The 26,800-nt window shown below is 41.4% G+C and overlaps 1 protein-coding gene and 1 long non-coding RNA gene across 7 annotated transcripts, besides 4 other annotated features; one reads left to right on the top strand and one right to left on the bottom strand.

The window, feature by feature from the left end:
* Positions 20-539: a silencer, noted in NCBI's record as "silent region_3878". NCBI's record gives its function as "represses an Ori minimal core promoter by ATAC-STARR-seq in GM12878 lymphoblastoid cells {active_cell/tissue: GM12878}" and the evidence as "EXISTENCE:reporter gene assay evidence [ECO:0000049][PMID:35858748]".
* On the top strand, positions 172-26,440 carry POGLUT3 (protein O-glucosyltransferase 3). Of its 6 annotated transcripts, none has more exons than NM_153705.5 (8): positions 172-391; positions 7,389-7,586; positions 12,116-12,399; positions 16,334-16,550; positions 17,180-17,376; positions 19,061-19,255; positions 20,845-20,949; positions 23,604-26,440. In NM_153705.5, the coding sequence occupies exons 1-8, from the start codon at positions 190-192 to the stop codon at positions 23,727-23,729; spliced, it is 1,524 nt and encodes a 507-aa protein (NP_714916.3). In that variant the 5' UTR covers positions 172-189; the 3' UTR covers positions 23,730-26,440. The 6 variants fall into 6 exon arrangements, with proteins under 6 accessions (NP_714916.3, XP_011540923.1, NP_001350432.1 ...); XM_011542621.3 differs by having other exon boundaries at positions 172-755; XM_047426421.1 differs by lacking the exon at positions 172-391 and adding an exon at positions 408-755 and having other exon boundaries at positions 1,338-7,586.
* Positions 15,696-15,874: a silencer, noted in NCBI's record as "fragment chr11:108353409-108353587 (GRCh37/hg19 assembly coordinates)". NCBI's record gives its function as "represses an EF-1alpha promoter that drives an FKBP-Casp9 reporter gene in an ReSE screen in K562 erythroleukemia cells {active_cell/tissue: K562}" and the evidence as "EXISTENCE:reporter gene assay evidence [ECO:0000049][PMID:32094911]".
* Positions 17,310-20,092, bottom strand: LOC124902749 (uncharacterized). The gene is made up of 3 exons (XR_007062879.1): positions 19,897-20,092; positions 18,227-18,293; positions 17,310-17,396 (listed from the first exon to the last, which is right to left on the bottom strand). It is a non-coding gene; the product is annotated as an uncharacterized LOC124902749 (long non-coding RNA).
* Positions 24,947-25,091: an enhancer, noted in NCBI's record as "145 bp 11:108344264 sequence used in MPRA reporter constructs". NCBI's record gives its function as "activates a minimal TATA-containing promoter with rs72992191 allelic activity by MPRAs in UACC903 melanoma cells {active_cell/tissue: UACC903}" and the evidence as "EXISTENCE:reporter gene assay evidence [ECO:0000049][PMID:36423637]".
* Position 25,019: a transcriptional cis regulatory region, noted in NCBI's record as "rs72992191 or 11:108344264 MPRA-significant variant associated with a GWAS melanoma risk locus at 11q22.3". NCBI's record gives its function as "allelic transcriptional activity by MPRAs in UACC903 melanoma cells {active_cell/tissue: UACC903}" and the evidence as "EXISTENCE:reporter gene assay evidence [ECO:0000049][PMID:36423637]".

Here is a 26,800-nt window from a genome sequence, read left to right as displayed (position 1 = left end):
GCGGCACTGGCTCGCGTTCCCGCCCGAGGGAGACGAGGCGGGACAGCGGGCGGGAAAGGGAGCCTGCGCCGCAATCTTTCCCGCCCGAAAGACCCGCCCCGCGGTGGGCCCCAGTCCCCGCCCGGTCCGCGGCGCTGCCGGCCCCTCCTCGCCGCCGCGGAGCTGGACCGCAGTTGTGCCCCGCCGACCATGCGCCGCCTCCCGCGGGCCCTGCTGCTGCAGCTGCGCCTCGCCCTGCTGGTGGCCGCGGGGGCCCCGGAGGTGCTGGTCAGCGCGCCGCGGAGCCTGGTGTGGGGGCCCGGGCTGCAGGCGGCCGTCGTCCTGCCGGTCCGCTATTTCTACCTGCAGGCGGTCAACTCGGAGGGCCAGAACCTCACTCGCTCTCCCGCAGGTAGTGTCCAGCCGCCGGCCTCCCTCGTCCCGCGGCCGGGTCCCCGCGCGTCCCCGCCGCCCGGGAGTCCGCCCGCGGCCTGCGTGGCGTCCCTCCCCGGCGTGTGTCGCCCCTTTTTGGGTCTGGTCAGCTCCTCTTCCCTCCTCCCGCCCATACTCAAAGCGGGCAAAAATCACCACGAAAGTTTGTGGAATGAATGAATGAATGAACTTGAAGGGCCCTTCCGCATTTAATGTGCAGGGACTGATGTTGCGAATGGACGGCGCCCGGGCGTTACAAGGAGTGTGCCGTGAGTCACACGTTGCCTTCCATCTCGGACTTAGTTGTCTGAACTGTGAGGGATTGCAGGGAGCGCTTTCCAGTGGTGAGTCATCAAGCCGACGGATCGCGTCGGATTACATGGCTTAGGCCTGGTGGGTTTGGAGCAACGAAATCCTACGCAGAGGAAATGTCAGAGCCGTAGGAAGGAGGAGGGGTTTACGTGTTAGTTTTTTGTTTCCTTTTTAGTTCTGAGTTTTTGAAAGCAGATTACAGGAACTAGGGAAACTCAGTAGAAATCATTCGGTTTTCCCTCCACGGAGGGTGAGATGGATCTCGTCCTGAATCCCTTTCTGCCCGGTCCTCCTCCCACGTTGTCCTTCACGTCTTAACCTTTGCAACTTCTTAAAACTTGTCCTGCTGGTTTCACGCTGTTGTCAGTCAGGATTTGCTAATGTATAATTTGGGGCTCTGGCCAACTAGCACCTTGTTGTATCAGCGAAGAGACAATTAGAATAAACCAGTGCCTCTGCCCCTGCTAGTCCAGCTGGGAACATAGCTGCCAGAAGTGTGTCCCAACTTGGGAAAGGGGTAAGGGGGTCTTGACAGCTGGGCAAAGCAGAGAATTTAGGAACCAAACATAATTCACTTTTAGATTTAATGATTTTTAAAATTTCATTCATTCAAGAAATACTTCTTTGATGTCTACTTCTGTGTTTGGTAATTCTGCTGGGAATCTAAGGATGAAAAGACAATGCCTGACCATCAAGGAACTTACAGTCTGTTGGTCAAAGACATGCAAATAACTGATCACTGTACAAGATAATTGAAGGTATGTACAGAGTGCAGTGGCAACATTGAAGCACTGCCAGAGACTGGAGAAATCCAGGAAGATTTCAGGAGCAGAGACTTGAAGGATGAGAAGGTTTGCTGGGCAGGCATATAGAAGGACGCCATGGCATGTGCAGAAGCACAGAGGCGTAGGAGACCGTGGTGTTCGGGAAAATAAGTACTGTAATTTAATGATACTGAGCGGAAAAGCCTGGTTGATTGTAGCCTCTGGTCTTCAAGCGCCTTGAATGCCAAGCAAATGACTTTATAACTAGATAAAAGAGAGCCACTGGAGAAATTTGAGCTGAGGCAAGAATCTGCCTCTCCCTTAACTACCTCAGTGGCTTGTTTTCTACATTTGATTCAGAACACCACTCCTGAAGTTGTCTTTGGGCATTGCTTTGATAACGTGTCTACCAGTTAGACCCTAAATACTCAGACAACTGGTTTCATATGCATGATATGCATTTAGGTAAAATAATTCCGACTCTATTGACAGAAACGCATGTGTGTATATCAGGGTTTCACAAACTTTTTCTTTAAAGGGCCAGATAGTAAATAATTTAGGCTTTGTAGGTGATATCATCTCTCACATTTATTCAGCTGTGCTTTGTAGCCATGGACATATAACAAACCCGTTTATGTTACAATAAAACTTTTTATGGCCACTGAAATTTCAATTTCATATAGTTTTCCATAAGTCACAGAATATTATTATTTTGATTTTTCTCCAACCCCCCTCCTCCTTTTTTTTTTTTAAGAGACAAGGTCTTTGTCACCCAGGATGCAGTGCAGTGGTACAGTCATAGCTACTGCAGCCTCAAATTCCTGGCCTCAAGGGATCCTCTTGCCTCAGTCTCCCCAAATGCTGGGATTACAGGCATAATCCACCATGCCCATCCCCATTTTAAAAATATAAGAATCATTGTTAGCTTACAGGATTTACAAAAACAGGCACTGAGCTGGATTAGCTAGTTTGTCAATCTCTAATGTATGTTAAAGACTCTCAGTTAAAATCCAAATGATACATGACTTAAAGTTGTGTATATGTTTTATATGTACATATATTATATATACATAAATATATTTAAACAAACGAAAAAGTTTACAGACAGTTTCTATTAAATATCTTAACAGAAGGAAAGTTACATTTATGATTCTGCATGGTTTACCCCTGTGATCTGTGACTTTTCTTTTTTTACCTTTTTTAGTCTTAGAAAGACTTCTCAGCCTGGGCAACATAGCAAGATTCCATCTCTACTTAAAATAAAAATTTTAAAAATTACCTACTTGGGAGGCTGAGGCAGAAGGATCAGTTGAGCCCAGGAGCTCAAGGTTGCAGTGCATTATGATTGTGCCACTGCACTCCAGCCCGGGCAACATAGCAAGACCCTTTCTCTAAATAAATAAATAAAATGGAACTTTTTGGACAACCTTACTTTCATTCCTTTGGATTCCCTTTGTTTCCTTTCAGGCCTCTTGATTTCTGGCTTCCAGTTAAAAAGGTGCCGTATAGTTCTGAAAACTCACCCAACTAGTTTCTTACATTTCTGCCACCAACATTCACTTCCAAGTCCTGAAGTCTTTCCCTCTTCAAGAACCAACTGAATAGCTGGTTATTCATGCCTTGTAATCTCAGCACTTTGGGAGGCCAAGGCTGGTAGACTGCCTGAACTCAGAAGTTTGAGACCAGTCTGGGCAACATGGCAAAACCCATCTACCAAAAAAATCCAAAATATCAGCCAGGCGTGGTAGTGCACAGCTGTGGTCCCAGCTACTGGGGAGGCTGAGGTGGGAGGATCTCTTGAGCCTGGGAGGCTGCAGTTGCATTGAGCTGAGATTGTGCCACTGCACACACACAAAAGAACTAATTGGAAAAGAGGAAAAATCTTCTCAAGCTGTAGCCTGTTGTACACAACTTAGAAAGTTTCCCTTATTATCACTCCCATTCGACAGTGTAGAATTTCCCTGAATGCCACTATTATGCTACATATATCCAAGTACCCAGATAACAAAAATATTGTGAACTTCAGTGATCTAAAGCAGGACATCTCAAACTGGGGTTCACAAACAGAAATTATAGGGTCTTTGTCCTTGGGTGGGGGGAAGAACTGTATCTTTATTTTCAGTAAACTCCTGCTTAAATTGAACATTTCCTTCAATTATGAATGTAGGCAGTACCTGTTGATACTATTATATTCCCAGTCTCTAGCACAATGCTTGCTAGAGATGCTGAGTAACTATTGTAGATGAAAAGAAATAAGGGGTGGAGGGAGGGATGATTGAAATATGTCAAGATGGAAGGATATAAATACTTATTTTCTACTCAGTCTTCTACCTTCATCAGTAATAATATCTTCATAAAATAATCTTACCTCCTGGCTGTGTAGTACTTTAGTGTTTTATACTATGGCTTGCTTAATTTGTCCTCCAAAATAGTCTTGTAAGGTAGGAAGGATAGATATTACTGTCTTTACACATAAGAAACTGGGCTCAGTGAAGCTAAAATGCCTTGCCCAGTGGGCTCCACAGTGAATGTGTCAGAGCCAAGGCAGGAACAGCCCTTTGAACTTCTACTTCATTGCTCTTTCTGTTTTATCAAATCATCCTTAATATGATTGTCGTACGTCAGTTTACAATAAGATCTTGGAGGGTGTTCGTCGTTGGCAGCTAGCCAGATATTTTTGGAGGATTTCCATTTAGCCTCATGGTACAACACCTTAGCCTTCTGGGATTTTGTTTCCCTTGACCGTGTGGGGTCAACACTTTTGCTGCAGCTGTAGAGGGCCTTAATGAGCTTCCTAAACAACAGAGGAGGAGATGACTCCATTGTATCCGAAGTGCCAGAAGTATTCCTCCAACTGTGACTGCTGCAAAGCTACATTCAAATATTGGCTCTGCTGCTCATTATGTATGTGACCTTGGGCAAGTTACTTTATTTCTTGGAGCATTGGTTTCTTGATCTATAAAATGGGAGTGACAGATACCTACCTCAAATTTCTTGTAGGAAATAAATGACATAGAAAATACATATGAAAGTCTCAAGCCCATAAAAAGTGCTAAGTGAATTTCTAAATATGCTTTTGATTTCTTACCAAATCAAACGTGTTCAAGATTTCTGATTCTAATGATGTAACACTTTGATGCTGCCAACCTCCTTTTGTCTACATAGTCACTGCATTCTCATCCAGTTAGCTATTTTTCTTAAGTTTGAATTTATTGAGTAGAAAACTCAAGCTGAGCCTCAATTCTTTTTTTTTTTTTTTTTTTTTGAGACAGAGTCTAGCTTTGTTGCCCAGGCTTGAGTGCAGTGGCGCGATCTCGGCTCACTGCAACCTCCGCCTCCTGGGTTCAAGTGAGTCTCCTGCCTCAGCCTCCTGAGTAGCTGGGATTACAGGTGCGCATCATCATGCCCGGCTAATTTTTGTATTTTTAGTAGAGAAGGGGTTTCACCATGTTGGTCAGGCTGGTCTCAAAATCCTGACCTTGTGATCCACCTGCCTTGGCCTACCAAAGTGCTCGGATTACAGGCGTGAGCCACCACGCCTGCCGTTGAGCCTCAATTCTATCCCACTATATTAGTACCCAGAGCTAATGAGAATTTTCATGCCTTCCATTTGAAGGAATTTGAAATTTCACTCTTCTCATTTTCTCTTTTATGAGGTTAGAATTCTTATTTCTGTTTCAGTCCTGATCCATATTATCTTGCATTGATTCTAACATTAATTTCATGTCAACAATGACACAGGCATGACAGATTACTGTAAAAAATAACTGAACATTTAAAATATATATTTCCAATGGCTATATTATAGTTGTATACATACATTTTGAAATGTAACTTTTAAATGATATTTCAGCGACAAAAAATATTACAACTGGAAGCGACCATAATTCTTTAGTCTGATACTTTCAATTTACAAATAATTGACGCATTTTGAAGCTAGTTGTTTTTTTCTGTCTTTCCCAAAAGTCACATAGTCAATAATATTCTTGTCTTATAACTGTTTTGTTTATTTAAAATAATAATATATGGAGAATAAGACTGTTTGATCAGGAAATAAGAAAACCTTTTTGTACATTTCCAGTTTGGGGAGGGAGCAATGAAAATGGCTTTCCAATTCCCAGACTTTCCTCTTCAGATTTCGATCTGCTGTGCCATGTTGCCTTTCTGAAACCATGTGGGAAATAATGCAAAGCAATAATTTATGTGTTTCATTTGTGCAGTTCAGGTAACTGGCCAACATTTCTAATAATTTCCTATTAAATTATTACCACTTTATAGCATCTTCCATGTTTATTATACTTCATTTAGGTTAGCAGATTTATTTCGTAATTTTATCATACTTGTTTCAAGGATCCTAAAATGTATATGTTTGGTACTCGATTATTAATATTTAATAGCAAGATGTCAGATACCACATTGTTATTACTAAATTGAAGAGACTGAGAAACATTTCTGCAGACTCACAAGAAAAAAAACCCTTAAAGATCAAAAGAAAGTAGATATTACACTCACTCGATTTAGAAACTAAGAATTTCACAAACGTGTTTAGTAATTTCAAAAGATATATTTTAAATATTCTAAATTTTATAATATGCGAAGTGAAAAACAACTTTGGTCACAATTTTCCTTTTGCTAGGACTGTGGATTTCCAAGGATTCATTACTTTTTTAGCATTTTCCTTTGATATGGTGATCTAAATGGTATATCCTCTGCACTCTCTGAAGGAAGAAGTTTCAAAGTTTATTCCTGGCCACAGTAACACTAATCACAACAGTATCATTTCAAAGCCTAAATGTCAGCTAATAGGAAAGGGAAAGTTTGTTGAATAGTTATTATTTACGTAGAACAGAAACCCCACAAAACTTTGAAGGTGGAATGGATTATTACAGTGTAACTGTTTCATTTCAAGCTGAGGAAACAGACTCAGAAGTAATCTCTAGTATTTACAAAGATGTGTATGTGTGTGTTTGTGTGTGTGTGTGTGTGTGTGAGCTTGTACAAGAGTCTGGTAACTAGCTGTAATCTCTCTCTACGTAAGGAAATGGCCTTAGAAGTACCACTTGAAATTTGGGCTTAATAAACGGGGAAATTTTCACAGAAATGAAGGTTATTAGATACTGAAATGGTATACAAAGAAAGCTTGTGTGTGTTTTATAAGGAGGAAGTTCGATTACTAGAGAGATCTGTCATGCTTAGAGTCCATGGATTTTTAACTATTTGGGCTTTAATCCTACCCAAAGGAGGAAAGACCAAATAAGCAAAAAGTTTATTTTTTATTTGCTTTTAAAAAATGATTTGCTTTTGTTCATGCAGTAAATCTTTATTGAATGACTAATGATTCAAATGTTGAGTCTGATCCGTGGTTTGAATACATGAACCAGACCAAGCTCTGTGGCTCAAGCCTGTAATCCCAACACTTTGGGAGGCTGAGGCAGTGGGGATCGCTTGAAGTCAGGAGTTTGAGATCAGCCTGGGCAACACAGCAAGACCCCCTCCAACCCATCCCGCCCCCCACCATCTCTACAAAAAATTTCAAAAATTAGCTGGGCATGGTGGCACACTCCTATAGTCCCAGCTACTCATGGGGCTGATGCAGGTTGAGGCAGGAGGTTCATGAGCCCAGGAGGTTGGAGCTGTAATGAGCTAGGATTCTGCCTCTGCACTCCTAGCTGGATGACAGAGCAAGACCCTGTCTCAAAAAAGAAAAAAAAAAAAAAAAGAATGCATGAACCAGACATGACAGTTCCTGGCCTCAAAGATCTTCCAAAGGAAATGATTTTTTTTTAACCACCAATGCTGCAGGAAAAAGCAACATATTTAAGTTATCCAATAACACCTATCCAATAATTGTAAATCATTATCATGACATGGTAGAGTTGTTTATATTTCTTTTCCTTTTAGGTGAAACACCATTCAAAGTCGTAGTCAAATCTCTTTCACCTAAAGAGTTGGTCCGGATACATGTCCCTAAACCTTTGGACAGGAATGATGGAACATTTTTGATGAGATATAGGATGTATGAAACTGTCGATGAAGGCCTGAAGATAGAGGTCCTTTATGGTGATGAACATGTGGCTCAGTCTCCCTATATTTTGAAAGGTAAGTGATTATTATATACTCCAGAGTCAGCCTTGTGTGTAGGTCCCATGCCTTTCAGAATGGCCTAAACCTGATGACCTCAAAGTCATGTGCAGTAAAGTAAACATTGTATACATACCTCCTGGAGCTCAATTTAAATTTTAAGGGAAAGAAAATTAAGTAAAGAGATTTAAATGATAAGAAAAAAATCTTGTGTATTTACATCCATGTAGTTACTATTTGCGAAACTCTTCATTCCTTTGTGTAGATCCATATTTCCATCTAGTAACATTTGCCTTCTGCTTAAAGGATTTTTATTAATATTTATTTTACTGTGAGAATGCTGGTGATGAATTCTTCCAGCTTTTGAATGTCTGAAAAAACTTTATTTTGCCTTTTGTTTGTTTGATTTGTTTTTTGTTTACTTTGAGACAGGGTCTTGCTCTATGGCCCAGGCTGGAGTACAGTGGCACAGTCAAAGCTCACTGCAGGCTGGGCGTGGTGGCTCACATCTGTAATCCCAACAATTTGGGAGGCTGAGGCGAGTGGATGGCTTGAGCTTAGGCATTCAAGACCAGCCTGGGCAACATGGTGAAACCCCGTCTCTACTAAAAATACAAAAATTAGCCAGGCATGGTGGCGGCGCATGCCTGAAGTCCCAGCTACTCGGGAGGCTGAGGCTGGAGAATCGCTTGAACCCGGGAGGTGGAGGTTGCAGTGAGCCAAGATCACATCACTGCACTCCAGCCTGGGTGACAGAGCGAGATTCCATCTCAAAAAAAAGCTCACTGCAACCTTAAACTGCTGGGCTAGGCCATGTGCAGTGGCTCACACCTATAATCCCAGCACTTTGGGAGGCCAAGGCCAGAGGATCACTTGAGCCCAGGAATTCAAGACCACGCTGAGCAACATGGCAAAAACCCATCTCTACAAAAAATTAGCTGGGTGTGGCGGCACATACCTGTAGTCCCAGCTACTCAGGGGGCTGAGGTAAGAGGATCACCTGAGCTCAGGGAGATCGAGGCTGCGGTAAGCTGTGATCGTGCCACTGCACTCTGGCCTGGGGGACAGAGTGAGACCCCCTGTCTCAAAACGAAATAAAACAGAAACAAAAACTGCTAGTTTAAAGCAAACCTCCCGCCTCAGCCTCTCAAGTAGCTAGGACTGCAGGCACATACCACCATGCCCAGCTAATTAAAAAATATTTTTTTGTTTCTACAAAACATTTTTTTGTTTCTACAGGGTCTTTTTATGTTACCTAGGCTAATCTCAAACTCCTGCACTCAAGTGATCCCCCTGCCTCGGCTCCCCAAAGTGCTGGGATTACAGGCATGAGCCACCATGCCCGGCCTAGTTTGCCTTTGTTTTTAAAAGACATTGTCTCTAGTTATAGTTATAGGTTGATGGGTTTTTTTTCTTTTGATACTTTAAAGATGTGGTTCCACTGTCTTCTCACTTGCATTGCTTCTAACAATAAATCTAGCATTTTCCTTATCTTTGTTCATCTGTGTTGCTTTTAAGGTTTTCTCTTTATCAGTTCTTTTGAGAAGTTTGATTATTATGTGCCTTGGTGCAGTTTCCTTAATGTTTCCTGTGTTTTGGATTTGTGGAACTTCTTGGAATTTAAACCATCCAAGTGATTTAAATTTCATCAAATTTAGAAAAATTATGGCCATTATTGCTTCAAATATGTTTTCTGTTCCATTCCACCTTACCTTCAAGGATACTAATTACCCATATATTGGGCTTGAAACTATCCTGTGGTTCATCGATACCCTTTTCATTTTTTAAATTCTTTTTTCTCTTTGTTTCATTTCGTATAGTTTCTATTACTGTCTCTAAGTTCTCTTTTCTTCTGCAATGTACGATCTGTTGTCAATCCTATACAGTGTAGTTTTCACCTCTTGATGCTTTTTCATCTTCTTGAGCTCTTTTCTGGGGTGCAGTTAAATCACTGGGAAATAGTTTAATCCTTCCAAGTTTTGCTTTTACAGTTTGTTAGGTGGGACTAGAGCCATGTGTAGTCTAGGGCTAATTATTCCCCGCTACTGAGGTAATACCCTTCTGCATACTTTACCCAAGCCCTGTGAATTAGGAGGCTTTCCAATCTGGCTGGTACCCACCGATAAGTACTGTTCTCTCTGGTCATTTTGGATGGGTTCTTCCCCTGTCTTCCCCAAGAACATATGAACACTCAGGTGGCAAATATCTTAGATGTCCATTTCTCAGCCTGAAATCTGTTTTCATCCTTTGTCATTATCATTCTAAATATTTAAATGTTATACCTAAATAATTAAACTGTATTATTTTTAGAATCAATACAGGGGAAGAACCCATCCAAAATGCACTGATCATATGCTCTGCTCAATATGTGAAGAGGACCTTCTATAGATCTCTAACGTTCTCTCTGTGCAGTGCTTCCTTTTTAGATACTCTGTCCTACAAAGTCTAGAGCTGCCTTGGTCTCCCTGGACTGCCAGCTCTGTCTCCTCAACTCAGTGAGGCTGCCTGGCTTTGCCTACAGTCCCCCTCCCTGTACTACAACCTCAAAGCTCCCTTAAGCAGTAGGCTGTAGGAATTGTAGGGCTTACCTTATTTGTTCCCCATCTCTCAGACTCACTGTCCTTCATTGCCTAATACCTAGTGCCTTAAAAACTATTGTTTAAGGCCAGGTGCGGTGACTCACGCCTGTAATCCCAGCACTTTGGGAGACCGAAGCAGGTGGATCACTTGAGGTCAGGAGTTCGAGACCAACCTGGCCAATATGGCAAAACTCCGTCTCTACTAAAAATACAAAAAATTAGTTGGGCGTGGTGGTGAGTGCCTGTAATCCTAGCTATTCAGGAGGCTGAGGCAGGAGAATCACTTGAACCCAGGAGGCGGAGGTTGCAGTGAGCTGAGATCACACCACTGCACTCCAGCCTAGGCAACACAGTGAGACTCCATCTCAAAAAAACAACAACAAAAACAACAAAAAACTATTGTTTCATATGTTTTGTGGGAGTGTTTTCTGGTTGTTTCAGGTGGGGTGGTACATCAGTCCCTGTTACTTGTTGTCAATGAAAAGAGTCAAACTTATGGCCAGGCATGGTGGCTCACGCCTGTAATCCCAGCACTTTGGGAGGCCGAGGCAGGTGGATCACCTGAGGTCAGAAGTTTGAGACCAGCCTGGCCAACATGGTGAAACCCCGTCTCTACTAAAAATACAAAAATTAGCCAAACATGGTGGTGCACACCTGTAATCCCAGTTACTCGGGAGGCTGAGGCAGGAGAATCACTTGAGCATGGGAGGAGGAGGTTGCAGTGAGCCGAGATCACGCCACTACACTCCAGCCTGGGCGACTCTGCCAGAGTCTCAGCCAGTGTGAGACTCTGTCCCCCTGCCACCAAAAAACAAAAATAAAAGAAAGAAAGAAAAAAGAAGAGAGTCCAACTCTAAAATATTTGAAGAGCTTTATTCTGAGCCAAATATTCAATTCAGTGAGACTACCTGTTTTTGCCTACAGTTTCCCTCCCTGCACTACAGCCTCGAAGCTCCCTTAAGCAGTAAGCTGTAGGAATTGTAGGGCTTACCTTATTGTTCCCCCATCTCTCAGACTCAATGACCAATGGCCCATGACACAACCCTCAGGACATCCTGAGAACCTGTGCTCAAGGTGATCAGGCTACAACTTGGTTTTATACATTTTAGTAAGACATAAGACATTAATCAATACATTTAAGATGTACATTGGTTTGGTTTGGAAAGGAGGGACAACTGGAAGGGGTGGGGGTGGTTGGGAGGGGTTGGGGGTAGCTTCCAGGTCATAGGTAGATTCAGAGGTTTTCTGATTGGCAGTTGGTTGAAAGAATTAAGTTATTGTGTAAAGACTTAGAATCAATAGAAAGGAATGTCTGGGCTTATGATAAGGGTTTGTGGAAACCAAGATTTTATCATGCAGATGAGGCTTCCAGGTAGCAGGCGACAGAGGAGATTGCAAATGTTTCTTATCAGACTTAAAGAGTCAGTTCAACAAAGTTTGTGTTGATGTTAATGCTGGTCAGCTAGGCCTGAATTCCAAAAGGGAGGAGGGTATAATGAGGCATGCCTGGTTCCCCTTTCCCTTCGTGGCCGAACTAGTTTTTCAGATTAACTTTGGAATGCCCTTGGCCAAAAGGAGGGATCCATTTGGACGGTCTAGGAGGCTTAGAATTTTATTTTTGGTTTACATAATGTCTAAAAATTAATACGTTCTTTTTCTCCTTGCTAAAAGGTAAGTTGTTTCATGTTTGCCAGCCATTTATACCTTATTAGAGATGAATTTATGAGCTAAGTGACCGAGAGTAGGTTAGATTGGGAGAGGGCATATACTAAACTGTTTATCCAAGGTGGTGTGAAAAGGAAAGTAAAAGTGTAGGACTCTAACATAATCACTTACACCACTGATTTGTCTAGGGCAGATTATCTCTGGATAATCTTAGAATTCACCAAGAAGCAGAGACAGAAGTGACTCCCTGTGTTGTGGTGCTTGCTAATGGAGTGCGGCCTTTTTCATGTTTTCCTTCCCTAGGACCAGTGTACCATGAGTACTGTGAGTGTCCGGAAGATCCTCAGGCCTGGCAGAAGACTCTTTCTTGTCCAACCAAGGAACCACAGATTGCAAAAGATTTTGCTTCCTTTCCCAGCATCAATCTCCAGCAAATGCTAAAAGAAGTCCCCAAAAGGTTTGGGGATGAGAGAGGTGCCATTGTTCATTACACGATTCTCAATAACCATGTTTACCGGAGATCTTTAGGGAAATACACAGACTTCAAGATGTTCTCTGATGAGATTTTGTTATCATTGACAAGAAAGGTAGGAGAATGAATGAATTGATAATACAGTTTAATTATTTAGGTATAACATTTAAATGTTTAGAATTATAATGACAAAGGATGAAACAGATTTCAGGCTGAGAAATGGGCATCTAAGATATTTGCAACCTGAGTGTTCATCATGTTCTCCATCTTTGTGGATCTTACTTTCCTGTAAGATTTAAAATTAAGTGGCTTGAGGCCAGGCATGGTGGCTCATACCTGCAATCACAGCACTTTGGGAGGCTGAGGCGGGTGGATCATCTGAGGTCAGCAGTTCAAGGCCAGCCTGGCCAACATGGCAAAACCCCATCTCTACTAAAAATACAAAAATTAGCTGGGCGTGGTGGTGGGCGCCTGTAATCACAGCTACTCAGGAGGCTGAGGTAGGAGAATCCCTTGAACCCAGGAGGTGGAGGCTGCAGTGGGCCAAGATTGCGCCACTGCACTCCAACCTGGGTGACAGAGTGAGACTCCATCTCAAATAAATAAATAAATAAATAAATAAATAAATAAATAAAATAGAATAAAGTGGCTGAGCCCCCATCCCAGGTAGGTATGCCATACAGGACACTCCCAAGCTTTCTTTGAGCTTCCAGAGATTTATAACAAGGTTACTTCTTATTCTTTTTTTCAAATAGTCTATATTTACAATATCCAAACAGAACAGTCTCATTTATTTATTTATTTTTAAATAGGGATGGGGTCTTGCTGTGTTGAGCAGGCTGGTCTCAAATTCTTGGGCTCAAGCCATCCTCCTGCCTCAGCCTTGATCCTAGCTGGGACTATAGGCATGCACAACCATGTCAAGAGGCCGCTTTAAGTTCTCTGTTCCGCTGAATACTACTCCTGCTTAGATTTCACCTTCTGCAGCTGTTTTCTTCTCTTCACCTCAAAATGACTTGAACTTAGAACACATTTTCCTTGTTTTACCCTAAGCATACCTAGAAGATAGCGTGCATGGGACATTTTGTCAAAGCTTGGGCTACCAGAAACAGGTTGTTTTTTTTTTCACCAGTGCATACTAAAAAACAAACAAACAAAAACCCTGATATTTAAAAATAGACATCTCTGCACTAATCAGACTCTCAGTCATACTTGCCTCTGGGAATTTCTCAGGGCTGTCCTTGACCTTAAGTTCTTAGCCTCTCACTAATGTGGTTAGGCCCTCTGTTTTTCAGGCTCCCCACATCCCCCAATAGCGCCCCCTTATCTCACTATTCAGCCTCTCTTTCCACATTTGCAGAACTCTAAATTCCTCTTAAGCAGAGCAACTTAAACCACCTTTTGTTCTTGTTTCTGATCATACAGGGTGAAGGATGGAGGTGGGCAATATTTATCTTTCTTACTTAGAGAGACCATAAAGGGAGTTTTTTTGTTTGTTTGTTTGTTTGTTTGCTTTGAGATGGAGTCTCACTCTGCCACCCTGGCTGGAGTGCAGTGGCACGATCTCGGCTCACTGCAACCTCTGTCTCCTGGGTTCAAGCGATTCTCCTGCCTCAGCCTTCTGAGTAGCTGGGATTACAGATGCACGCCATGCCTGGCTAATTTTTGTTTTTTTAGTAGAGAAGGGGTTTCACCATGTTGGTCAGGGTGGTCTCAAACTCCTGACCTCGTAATCTGCCCGCCTTGGCCTCCCAAAGTGCTCAGCATGAGCCACTGCGCCTGGCCAAGGGAGTTTTATAAACCAAAAAAAACACAGTTTTCCTGATATGTTATACAATTCCCCAAGTATGCTGACTGTGTGGCTGCAGTCAGTTCTTACTTTAAATAGCAGTCCCCAACCCCTCCACCACCAGCCCACAATGTGAGGATACAAGCATGTGATGGGCATCTGCTCCTAAAGGTAGTGCTCTCTTCCCGGGCTACAACTAGTCAACTGTGCCCTGTATTCTTGCCTCTTTAATCCATGTTGCTGGCTTCATAGCAGTAGATTTCAACCAGGGATGATTTTGCCCCTCAGAGGACATTTGCCAATGTCTAGAGACATTTTTGGTTGTCACAACTCAGGGGTTGCTATTATCATCTAGTGGGTAAGCATCCTACAGTGCAAAGGATAGCACCCCCCAACCCCATCGCAAAGAATTATCCAGCCCCAAATGTCAATAATATGAGCTTGAGAAACCCTACTCCACAGTGAGCACTTCCAATGTGGAGTTTATTAAAGAGTTTATAAATAATAGCAGGGAGGCTGGGCACGGTGGCTCACACCTGTCATCCTAGCACTCTGGGAGGCTGAGGCAGATGAATCATTTGAGGTCAGGAGTTTGAGACCAGCCTGGCCAACAAGATGAAATCCCATCTCTACTAAAAATACAAAAATTAGCCGGGTGTGGTGGTGCGTGCCTGTAGTCTCAGCTACTTGGGAGGCTGAGGCACAAGAATCACTTGAACCTGAGAGGCAGAGGTTGTGGTGAGCCAAGATCACGCCACTGCACTCCAGCCTGGGTGGCAGAGTGAAACACTGTCTCAAAATAATAATAATAATAATAATGACAGGGAAGCAAGAGGGTGAATATTCACATCTCTTGCCCTTTCCTTTTGTTCTTTGCCCAGTGGCTGGGGAAGAAATAAATCTAAGATAAGTGAGACTCAGTCCTAGTCTCTGAGTAGCCCACTGTAGTGGGATTTGTTTTTGTTGTTTGGAAGTGGGGGTGGGATGTGAATACAAACAAATAATTATATCCCAATATGATGATAGGCCTCAAGAGAATTAAGTACCTAGGGTTTAAGTGCCTGAGGAGGGTGAGTCATAGAAGAGGTGGTGTTAGATCTGGGCTTGGAGGATGAGAAAGGAGACTGCCAAGTTAAATAAGTAAAACATTCCAAGTGAATGGAATTACATGTTGAGGTGGATGGCATTTTCAGAGAGTAGCCTAAGGTTTCCTGGTAGGTGGGCAGATGAAAGATGAGGCTTATAGCCAAGCTGGGACAAGATTGTGAGGCCTTGAATGCCAGCCAGAGAGTTGAGATCTTGTGCCATAGGCTTAAGGTTCTGTTAAGCTTGGTAGTGACATTAACAAAGTTATTTTAGAAATTTTAGTTTTAGAATTAATTTTAGTTTTGGAAATCTGAGCAGCCTTGTGGAGAGCAGATTACAGTATGGAGAGCCCAGAATCAGAACACCTAGTAAGGAAGTTATTGCAGCAATCTAGGCAAGAAATGATGAGAGTCTAAACTGAGACATTGACCGTGGAGATGGAAATGGACTGGCAGGTTCCAGAGGCAAGGGCACATGAGGCAAAGATGGGGACAGTGAAGGAAAACAAGGGTTTGGTTCTAACTTTGTAGATTCTCTTGCTTAGGCAGCTGGCAGAGGGTTATCGAAGCTATTCATTCTTACCTCTCTACACAATTTTCACTTCTCTAACACTACATTTTATTTTATTTTATTTCTTTTTCTATTTTTTTGGAGACAGAGTCTTGCTCTGTCGCCCAGGCTGGAGTGCAGTGGCGCGATCTTGGCTCACTGCAACCTCTGCCTCCCAGGTTCAAGCGATTCTCCTGCCTCAGCCTCCTGAGTAGCTGGGATTACAAGTGCCTGCCACCAGCCCAGCTAATTTTTGTAAGTTTAGTAGAGACAGGGTTTCACCATGTTGGCCAGACTGGTCTTGAACTCCTGACGATCCACTCGCCTCAACCTCCCAAAGTGCTGGGATTACAGGTGTGAGCCACCACGCCCAGCCTCAAACACTGAATTTTACATGCATCTCTGGACAGAGGTAGCTGACTCCTGGTTAAGTGAATTTGTCATGCAGGATCCTCACAGGTGACAAATTCACAGCCATCCTGTCAATGACAGGCATTCTTCTCTCTTCTCTGTTTTTGAATGGTTAGCCCTGTCAAAAATATGTAAGAAAACCAAAGAACTGTTGTACTTAGTACCAAAGACTGAGATCTTCCCAGCACTGATGTTTGTTTATATGTTTATTTAGGTCCTTCTCCCAGATTTAGAATTTTATGTTAATCTTGGAGATTGGCCCTTGGAGCATCGAAAAGTCAATGGAACCCCTAGCCCCATACCTATCATTTCATGGTGTGGCTCTCTGGATTCAAGAGATGTTGTCCTTCCAACGTATGACATCACCCACTCCATGCTTGAAGCCATGCGGGGTGTTACAAATGATCTCCTCTCTATTCAGGGAAATACAGGTATTCAGGGAAATGCAAGGCTAATTAATGAAGAAAAAGCTTAGAGACAGAGTGGGTTATACATATATGTTTGCATTCAGTAGCATATTAGAAAAAGTCTTGTACTGAAAATTCTGACCAACCTAGGGATTAAAGATTTGTGGATGTTCCTCAGTTATATAGTTTTTTCTGGTCACCCTTTGTAAGAACAAAGGGCTAGCTCACGTTTTATTGTGAAACACAGAAAATGGAAGAAGCTAATGCCTTGGTGAGTGGACCCAGTCACTGAATCTCTTTTTTGCTTTGAACACGGTCCGACATTATTTCAGGTATTTCCTAGTATTATACAACAGAATACACGAATACTTGCGTGAGCTTTCACTAGCAGACAAATGGATGAAATTAGAGCATTCTTTTACATAATACAGCAAATAAAAAGACTGTTTTTTTTAAACTCTAAACTTGAAAGTGCTTCTGGCAAATTGAGACTCAATCCCATATTTTCGTTGAAATAACATCTACTTTAGAAGATGAGTTGATAAAAGAGCTTTAGCATCTTAAATGACAATGGTAGATTAAAGAGGATTATGCTTGCCATATTAAAATGTCAAATTCATAATCCTAATTTTTTTATGGCTTCAAACTTGTAGGGCCTTCCTGGATCAATAAAACAGAGAGAGCTTTCTTCAGAGGTAGAGACAGCCGAGAGGAGAGGCTCCAGTTGGTACAGCTGTCCAAAGAAAATCCTCAGCTACTAGATGCAGGAATTACAGGATATTTCTTTTTCCAAGAGAAAGAAAAGGAGCTTGGAAAAGCCAAGTTGATGGGTTTCTTTGATTTCTTTAAGGTATGCATTTGAGTCTTCTTCTATGGATATGAAGCGATAAAATTGTATTAAAAGTCTACCAAAATAGGTGGGCTTCAGCAAATTTCACCTGGCTTGTGAACTGACACACATGTTCACACTTTCTTATTAGATATCAGGAATTACAAAACCCATTGTGGTTTCCTTCTTTCATTGTTAAGTTTACCAAATAGCTCAGAACTGTACTTAATTCTCAAAATATAGTACAAGGATTAACCTGGGATTTTGGTATATTTATGTCTCGTTTTTCTTTCTTTTTTTTTTTTGTATTTGCTTTCATAAACTGGGAATATAAATACCTTTTACATAAAGTGATCTCAAATGTCTTTTATAAATAGAAAAAGCATAAATTCCATATATGTAAAGTGGGAGTTGGGATTAGGGTTCAAGGCCTGCTTCTAATCCTGCCTCTGCCACCAACTATGGGACCTTCCTGTCTTGGTGCCTTGGTCTTTAAACCCGTGTGATGCCTGCCTACTCCTTCAGAGCATTATCACGAGGCCCAGAGGAGAGATGTGAACAATGTGACAAAACCTGATGGGCTCAAAAACTCCCTTGTACCAATTATTTAAGAAAAATTTATTTACCAAATCTGGGAGTGTGTCCTCTTCATCCCAGAGTGATACAATGAGTAGAACAGGGGATTTGGACTCAGAGAATGAGGTTTATACATTTCTCTGAATACCAGTTTTCTCATTTGTAAAAACAAAAAGAAGGGGTTAATAATACCTGCTTCAGATTATTCTAATTGAATGAGGTTTAATGCCTATGAAAACTACATTTGAAATGGAAAACAAAGTATATTAACCCAACAAATATGCAGACAGCTTACCTACTATGTTGCCAGCATTGCCCAAGTCCTTAAATGTCTCCAGGTTTCTATCTCCTCAGCTCTAAAACTGTAAAATAGAGACAATGCCTGCCTGTTTCATAGACTGCGTATAAGGAACAAATGAAATAATGAATAAATGAAAGTGTTCATTGTTATCAGTATTGAGCTTTAAGAATTTTGAAAATAGTTTTCCTGGCTGGGCGTAGTGGTTCACGCCTGTAATCCCAGCACTTTGGGAGGCTGAGGCGGGCGAATCACCTGAGGTCAGGAGTTTGAGGCCAGCCTGGCCAACATGGGGAAACCCTGTCTCTACTAAAAATAGGAAAAAGTTAGCTGGCTGCAGTGGTGGGTGCCTGTAATCCCAGCTACTCAGGAGGCTGAGGCACCAGAATTGTATGAACCCAGGAGGTGGAGGTTGCAGTGAGCCAAGATCACGCCGCTACACTCCAGCCTGGGTGACAGAGCAATACACTGTCTCAAAAAAATAATAATAATAATTAATTAAAACTTAAAAAGAAAATAGTTTTCCTACCTTGTTACAGAAATCTGGATTCCATTATTACAGAGACATGATTGAAATAGGTCTTCACTCCTATTTCCAAAAATTTAGCACCTTACCTTTAAACAATGTATTTCTTAAAATTAATCTGAGAAATGCTGCTTGTGATTTTTATACAAAGAGAAGATGTAAGTTATAAAATAAAACTTTTAAACACAAAAAAGTTGGAAAATGGAAAATAATTCCTCTGTAGTTGGTATTACAGTGTTGATGAGGAGCAGAAGTGAAGCAAATGACTACTGAAAGTTTGTTTATGTTTGTTTTTCATCTTCCAGTACAAGTATCAAGTAAATGTGGATGGGACCGTGGCTGCTTACAGATATCCATATCTCATGCTGGGCGACAGTCTGGTTTTAAAGCAGGACTCGCCATATTATGAACATTTCTACATGGCACTAGAACCTTGGAAGCATTATGTTCCAATTAAAAGAAATCTGAGTGATTTATTAGAGAAAGTTAAATGGGCTAAGGTATGCGTCCAGCAATTTTTATTTCTTTAAGCAATAACAAATTCATCAGTGTTAGATGAGTTCCATCACAATACAATTTGATTTGACATAATGGAATGAAAAGAAATATTATTTTCTGAAATTGCTGTTCCCTTGAAATATCTAAAGAATCAGCATCAGAATCATTTTGCATACCCTCTATCAACATTTTTGAAGATTTTCAGAAGATTTGAAGTCCAGCCTTATATAAAATACAGATTTTCTAAATGCTATGTTTACACATACAAACAAGAATATACAAAATGCAAATTACTGACTGAAAGACCAGAGTTAAGGTGCTTTATGAACAAGAAAATATTTCAGGCAATTACAGTACTCTTTTCTTATCCCCAGTTAGAAAAAAGGCACAAATTCTTAATGAATGCGTGTTATACAACGCAAGCATCACGTTTCCTATAAAATAGGAATTCCTTTTTTAAAAGGAAAAGTATTAAAAAGCTGTTGCGTTTTATTATAAAGCTATAAAAATGTACCCTTCCATTATGAGACTTTATACTAAGATTCTAAGAAACAATATATGGTTATAGAAATAATTGGGCGCCTGAGGCAGAATCACTTTTGTGACCCTTCATAAGAGCCTCAGTTGCTTGCAAATGGCTTACCTGCGGGCAGCATTGTAGAAGATTAACTGTTTTCCAAAAGTATAATTAGGAACGCTGACTATTTCTGGTACTGAATGAACAGCCTGTGGGTACTAATGACTGAATTTTTCGGTTACAAAAGCAATACAGTCTTTTATAGCTACCATTTTATAACACAACTTTTTGACGTTGACTGCGTATTTGCATGGAGCTTTTAAAAGATGTTGTAACGTGAAAACGGATTCATTCTCCTGTTATGCAGAGAGGAAATAGGCTGGTGGGACAGATGCGGAAGCTGAAGAGTACTTCCTGGGTGGCCAGGAAGGTACCAAGATGGTCACAATAGGGGCTGCATGTGGGTTGTTGCACTGTGGGGAGAAGGAGTGGCTTCCTAGTACTGTGGAAGAGGGGCCAAACATGTGATCGTTTCTCTTTAACGGAGATGTCTAGGAAAATACTCTGTCTCTTCCTGTAGCCTCATTCTTTCATTTATTTATTTATTAGTTTATTTATTTATTTATTTATTTATTTTTGAGACAGAGTTTCACTCTGTCGCCCAGGCTGGAATGCAGTGGCACGATCTCCACTCACTGCAACCTCTGCCTCCCGGGTTCAAGGAATTTCGTGCCTCAGCCTCCTGAGTAGCTGGGATTACAGGTACCCGCCACCACACCCAGCTAATTTTTGTATTTTTAGTAGAGATGGGGTTTCACCATGTTGGCCAGACTGATCTCGAACTCTTGACCTTAAGTGATCTTCTAGCTTTGGGCCCCCAAAGTACTGGGATTACAGGTGTGAGCCACCATGTCCGGCCCCTGTAGCCTCATTCTTAAGTTATAATTCCATTATGTTCTGGCTTTCCCATGCTGTTCACTTTCAACCCCACATCTGTCCCACCTCACACTTAACCCTCTCTTTGTGGGTCGCAGTAGTAATTTTCATTCATTTTTATTTTTTTTAACCTTTCAGGAAAATGATGAAGAAGCCAAGAAGATTGCAAAAGAAGGACAGTTGATGGCTAGGGACCTACTACAGCCACACAGGCTTTACTGCTACTATTACCAAGTACTGCAGGTCAGTTCAGAGTGTCCGTCCACACTGCTGGGTCGGGTGTCCTCAGACTACCCGCTTGGCCTGTACACTTCCTGCCTGGCTTCCTGAAGGACTCACAGTCAAGCCTATGGACCACTGGCTAAGCCAAGGCACTTGCCTAGGGAAAGATAGTGCTAAGTCTTCATTTGGTGGCCCCCTTTTTTTTGTTTTTTGTTTGTTTGTTTGTTTTGAGATGAAGTCTCACTCTGTCATGCAGGCTGGAGTGCAGTGTCTCAATCTCAGCTCACTGCAGCCTCTGCCTTCCAGGTTCAAGCAATTCTGCCTCAGACTCCCAAGTAGCTGGGATTACAGGTACACGCCACCATGCCCAGCTAATTTTTGTATTTTTAGTAGAAACGGAGTTTCGCCATGTTGGCCAGGCTGGTCTTGAACTCCTGGCCTCAGGTGATCTGCCTTGCCTTGGCCTCCTGAAGTGCTGGGATACAGGTGTGAGCCACCACGCCCAGCCGTGGCCTCCATATTTTCATCTTTATTCCATATTATGTAAAACGACGCTGGGAGCCCTCACAAATATAGATTAGCAACTCCTCCCATCTTCTCAGTGCTCTCTTTTATTAAATGCTTTATTGAATTCCTAGTGTAGGTGTTCTGGAACCTCAGAGAAAAACATTTTTTCTTATTTGGAAAACAAGATGGTTGGACTGGAGATCATTAACATCCCTTTTTACTCAAAATGTCGCCTCCTTATTCTCCTTGATACTTAAGATTCATGCCTTTTATAGTACAAGGCAGAATGCAAATATTTAGCTTGCTGTAGCAAACAAACTAATGAGAAATATGTATAACAGTTCTAACACCTTAGGGCTGAATCCTGAAGTATAGTGTTTATTGGGAATCCGAGGATTGGTCTTTTGAGTAACTACCTTGAGTTTTACTCAGAAAAATCTAGACAGGAAGAATAAAAAAAGGAAATTATGTTCTTGTTTTTAACCTAAATTTATTTTTCTGTAGGCATAGTAAAAGTAAATTTCCCTAGATGCTTGTGGATACTACCCTCTCATATTTTCATTTTCATAGAAAAATAAAAATGATAAGTTACACTATTTACTAGAAGCAGCCCTTCCTTCCCTTAAATTGGTCTGTCCCCTCTGTTGGTCTAGCTTTAATCGTTAAACAGTTTTTTTAACAATTTCTTGGCCGGGTGCAGTGGCTCACACCTGTAATCCCAGCACTTTGGGAGGTCGAGGAGGGTGGATCACCTGAGGTCAGGAGTTCAAGACCAGCCTGGCCATCATGGTCAAACCCCGTCTCTACTAAAAATACAAAATTAGCCAGGTGTGGTGGCACATGCCTGTAATCTCAACTACTCAGGAGGCTGAGGCAGGAGAATCGCTTGAACCTGGGAGGCAGAGGTTGCAGTGAGCCTAGATTGCACCACTGCACTCCAGCCTGGGCAACAAGAGCAAAATGCATCTAAAAATATATATATTTCTTACTCGGTCACCTAGGCTGGAGTGCAGTGGCATGATCACAGCTTACTGCAGCCTCAACCTCCTAGGATCAAGCGATTCTTCCCCCCTCCCACCTCAGCCTCCCACTAGTAGCTGGGACTACACCACCACACTCAGCTAATTTATTTATTTTTTTTAGAAACAAGCTCTTGCCGTGTTTCCCTGGTTCCTCAAGTGATTCTCCAGCCTCAGCCTCCCAAATAGTTTCAATTTTAATGTTAGGAATTTCTCTCTCTAAAATATTAATTAGGCTTATCTACTGTGTCAACATTTTGTTGCATTTGGTCCAGTACCAGGAATATACAGCAAAAGGGACATGGAATCATTGAATTGAAATATCCAATTTATGTCTGGGCAGGGTGGCTCATGCCTGTAGTCCCAGCACTTTGGGAGGCTGAGGTAGGCAGATTGCTTGAGTCCAGGAGTTGAAGACCAGGCTGTGCAACATGGTGAAACGCCATCTCTACAAAAAATGAAAAAAATTAGCTGGGCATGGTGGTACGCGCCTGTAGTCCCAGCTACTTAGGAGACTGAGGTGTAAGGATCACTTGAGCCTAGGATGTTGGAGGCTGCAGTGAGCCAAGATCACGCCACTGCACTCCAGCCTCAGTGACAGAGTAAGACCGTGTCTCAAAAAAAAAAAAAAACAAAAACAAAAAAAACTCCATTTATAGAAATATTTCACTCAGGGCCACAGTGGAGGAACATTACACAGACCTGTTGCCATTCAAAAATGCGTGTGACTATAGGCCTAAAAGAAAGAATGTGTGAGACTGCCAACTTTTCAGATGGTTATCTTGTTTGTTTGCTGGCTTGAGTATTCAACAAAGTTAATTATTCAATAACAAGTGGAAAATAAATGCTGAGAGCTGCTGTTTGTTTCAGGTAGGGACGTCTGGCTTGGCATCCCTTTTGTAGAGGCTTCCAACCAACACATAAAATTGTGGATTGGGGTTTCTTGCTAGATTATGAATTATAACTAGTGCCTGTGATAGCTAAAGTTAAAATGTAACTTTAGGACTGGAATAAACCAGACCTTTGGTTTTAGTCTGCAGACACACAGCAACTAGAAAAGATGGCGTGACTGCGGATGGGAGTGGGTGGGGGAGTCAACAGAATGCAGTGTGAACTAACCTTTCAGTTCCCTTTAAACCCACGTTTCAGAAATATGCCGAGCGCCAGTCCAGCAAACCCGAAGTACGTGATGGAATGGAACTTGTTCCTCAGCCAGAAGATAGCACAGCCATCTGCCAGTGCCACAGGAAAAAGCCTTCAAGAGAAGAACTTTGAGTCAGCCCAGAATCACACTCCTGTGTATCCCGGCTACACTTTAAGGAAAGATTGAATCTAAGCTGTGAAGGACAGTATAGAAGACTGCACCAAGTGGACTAGTTCTCCCGGTGGCTTTATATATGTAGATGGATATAGCAGTACTGGTTGAGTATCCCTCATCTGAAATGCTTAGGACCAGGAGTGTTTCAGGCTTCAGATTTTTTAAGATTTGGGAATATTTGCATGTACATAATGAGGTATCTTGGGGATGAGATCCAAGTCTAAACACAAAATTCATTTATATTTTATATATACCTTGTTCACATACCCTGAAGGTAATTTTATATAATATTTTTAATAATTTGTGCATGAAACAAAGTTTGTATACATTGAACTGTCAGAAAGCAAAGGTGTCACTATCTTAGCGACCCAAGTGGTGGTGTCAGCACTCAAAAAGTTTTGGATTTTGGGGTATTTCAGATTTTAGATTTTTGTATGAGGAATGTTCAACCTGTATTTGAACAAGCATTACCAAATATCATTGAATATTAATATCTTTTGCGTAAAAACTGCTATTATCAGCATCATAGTTTCTCTAAAAAGAAAACTTGGGGATCATAGCCGATAGAGAGACTTGCTAAAATATAAATCAGCCTCTGCAAAACTGTTTACATATTTATTGGTTTACATATTTTATTGGTTTATTTCTATCCCCTGTTCACTTTTTCTCTTCCACTTCCAATTATGAAGAGAAAATATTTGTTCAGGGTTGTCCCCCCGCCCCCCGTCACTGCATAATTTCTCCTCTTACAAGCTGCTTTTGGCTTTCATTAATAACAGCTTCCTTTTAGAAGGTCTGATAAGGATATTTAAGGAAGAAGAGAATGACTCTGTTATTAAAGGTGGCATGGAGACTGTGGAGGGAATATTTTTTAAAGCACTACTCATATCCTTTAAACTAAATTTTGCCAAAGCCCGAGACAACATTAAGGAGAAATTGTACCTTAAGTTAGTAATTCCAAATCTATCTGAGTTGTATACCCATCAAAGACAATACAGTTATTAACATAGATGAAGGTATGCTATAGGCATCATTCATTATCTCTATATTGAATAGGTGAAAGATAACTGTAGTCAGGTGAAAGGCATTCATTATTTTTAAGCTGAAAAGGGGATCCTTGAAAACACTGAAAACCTCTACAACAATCTTCAGGAAGCCTGCTATCTTGGGATTCACTAATAATAGGCCAAGAACAAAGGCAAGCATCCATTCCTCACTCCACCACTTTTCTATTTCAGTGGGTGTCGTTGCTACGATGAAGACTTTGGAAATTTCCTTTCTCTTTTAGGACAGGGTCAGGATTTAGGACTCATAGCCTGAAAGCTCATTACATACTCCTTGTAACCATCAGTCCAAGGTTCAGTTCACTAAAGTGCATGTTCTAAAACAAGAGCTATCCTCATTCCAAATTTTAAAATATGTACTCTGGCCGGTTGCAGTGGCTCACGCCTGTAATCCCAGCACTTTGGCAGGCCGAGATGGGCGGATCTTTTGAGGTCAGGAGTTTGAGACCAGCCTGGCCAACATGGTGAAACCCCGTCTCTACTAAAAATACAAAAATTAGCCAGGCATGGTGGCATTTGCCTGTAATCCCAGCTACTCGGGAGGCTGAGGCAGGAGAATCACTTGAACCTGGGAGGCAGAGGTTGCAGTGAGCTGAGATTACACCACTGCACTCCAGCCTGGGTGACAGAGTGAGACTCCATCTCAAAAACTGAAAATAAAAATAAAAATATGTATTCTCCTAACTGAAATATTTACTTAATCTGGAAAACAATGTAACTATTTTTAAAGTGGTTACATCTATTCTTGCTGAAGAACAATAAACAGAATTTTTTGACTAAGCATAACCAAATTTCAGAACAGTCTAATCAATGCCAAGTATCCAAGGCAAACTCTAATACCCATCCATTGTGCAAAACCACAAGCACGCAAGTATTAAATAAGAGCAAGCTGTCCTGAGCCCATACCTAATGAATTTGTGTCTTAAATATTGTACATTGTGTTTGAGGCTTGTCAAAACTGGGATTATGGCAAGAAAGGTTGCCTAACTCATACCTTTCTGCCTCAAATTCCAGGTGCTAAAGGCTAATGGCATTTTAAACATCTTACATTTTTAAAAATTTATATTGCCTCTGCCAAACAGGCCTAATAGTTAAAAGCAAGTTGAGACAAACCAGGCAGATTCAGTGTGTGGAACAGGAAGGATGTGCTTTAAAAAAAGGTGGAATCCCTCAAAAAATTCTATAGGGAGACAGCAGCCTTAATCTACATAATTCTTCATCTCGCCAATTCAGCCGCAGCCTTTAAAGAGTTAGTGTTAATGGCTTTCTGGTTTGAAAACAAAAATGCATCTATGTGGTTGAAAGTTTGGGAGGAGATTCACCAATATCTGAGGAGAAGATGGAGTGAAGGGAATTCTTACTTTTTGCTTTATACCTTTCTATAATATTTAGATTTTTTTTTACTGTAAGTATGGATCAAATTGCAAAATAAAGAAAAATGCCAACCTTAGAAAAGACAATAAATGCACAAAAGATATAAACAGGAACAGCAAATATTTATATTTTTTCCATTTTGCTCTTTTTAAATCTATGTTTAGAACTTTATATCTTGGGACTTATGTATATATATACCTTTTAAATAAAATAAATTTTCTAAATAAAAAGTTGAAAAAGATACCTTTTGTTTTTTAAGAAAGAGGTTGTAACCACTTATAGCCCTGGTATTTCTGTAACTGCATTGGTCTAATTTTGATTCTATTATGTCTTCATGAGTAAATGAACCAAAATCACCACTCAGTCCCTAAAGGGCAGAAATCTATAATAACATTAGAAGAAAGAAAAGGCCAGTCACGGTGGCTCACACCTCAGCACTTTGGGAGGCCGAGGCAGGAGGATCACTTGAGCCCAGGAGTTTAAGACTAGCCCTGGCAACATAGTGAGACCCTCAACTTTACAAAAGAAAAAATTTAAAAATTAGCTGGACATGGTGGTGAACACCTGTAGTCCCAACTACTTGGTAGACT

The sequence above is a fragment of the Homo sapiens genome, chromosome 11, assembly GCF_000001405.40.
Source record: "Homo sapiens chromosome 11, GRCh38.p14 Primary Assembly".
NCBI classification, from domain to species: domain Eukaryota; kingdom Metazoa; phylum Chordata; class Mammalia; order Primates; family Hominidae; genus Homo; species Homo sapiens.
This window is presented reverse-complemented; position numbering and strand designations above follow the sequence as displayed.

Excerpts from the sequence above, each read along its gene's own strand:
- POGLUT3 (NM_153705.5), top strand. The coding sequence starts at position 190 with ATGCGCCGCCTCCCGCGGGCCCTGCTGCTGCAGCTGCGCCTCGCCCTG. Across the intron at positions 7,587-12,115 it reads GTCTCCCTATATTTTGAAAG|GACCAGTGTACCATGAGTAC; the intron begins GTAAGTGATTAT and ends TTCCTTCCCTAG. Across the intron at positions 16,551-17,179 it reads CTCTATTCAGGGAAATACAG|GGCCTTCCTGGATCAATAAA; the intron begins GTATTCAGGGAA and ends TCAAACTTGTAG.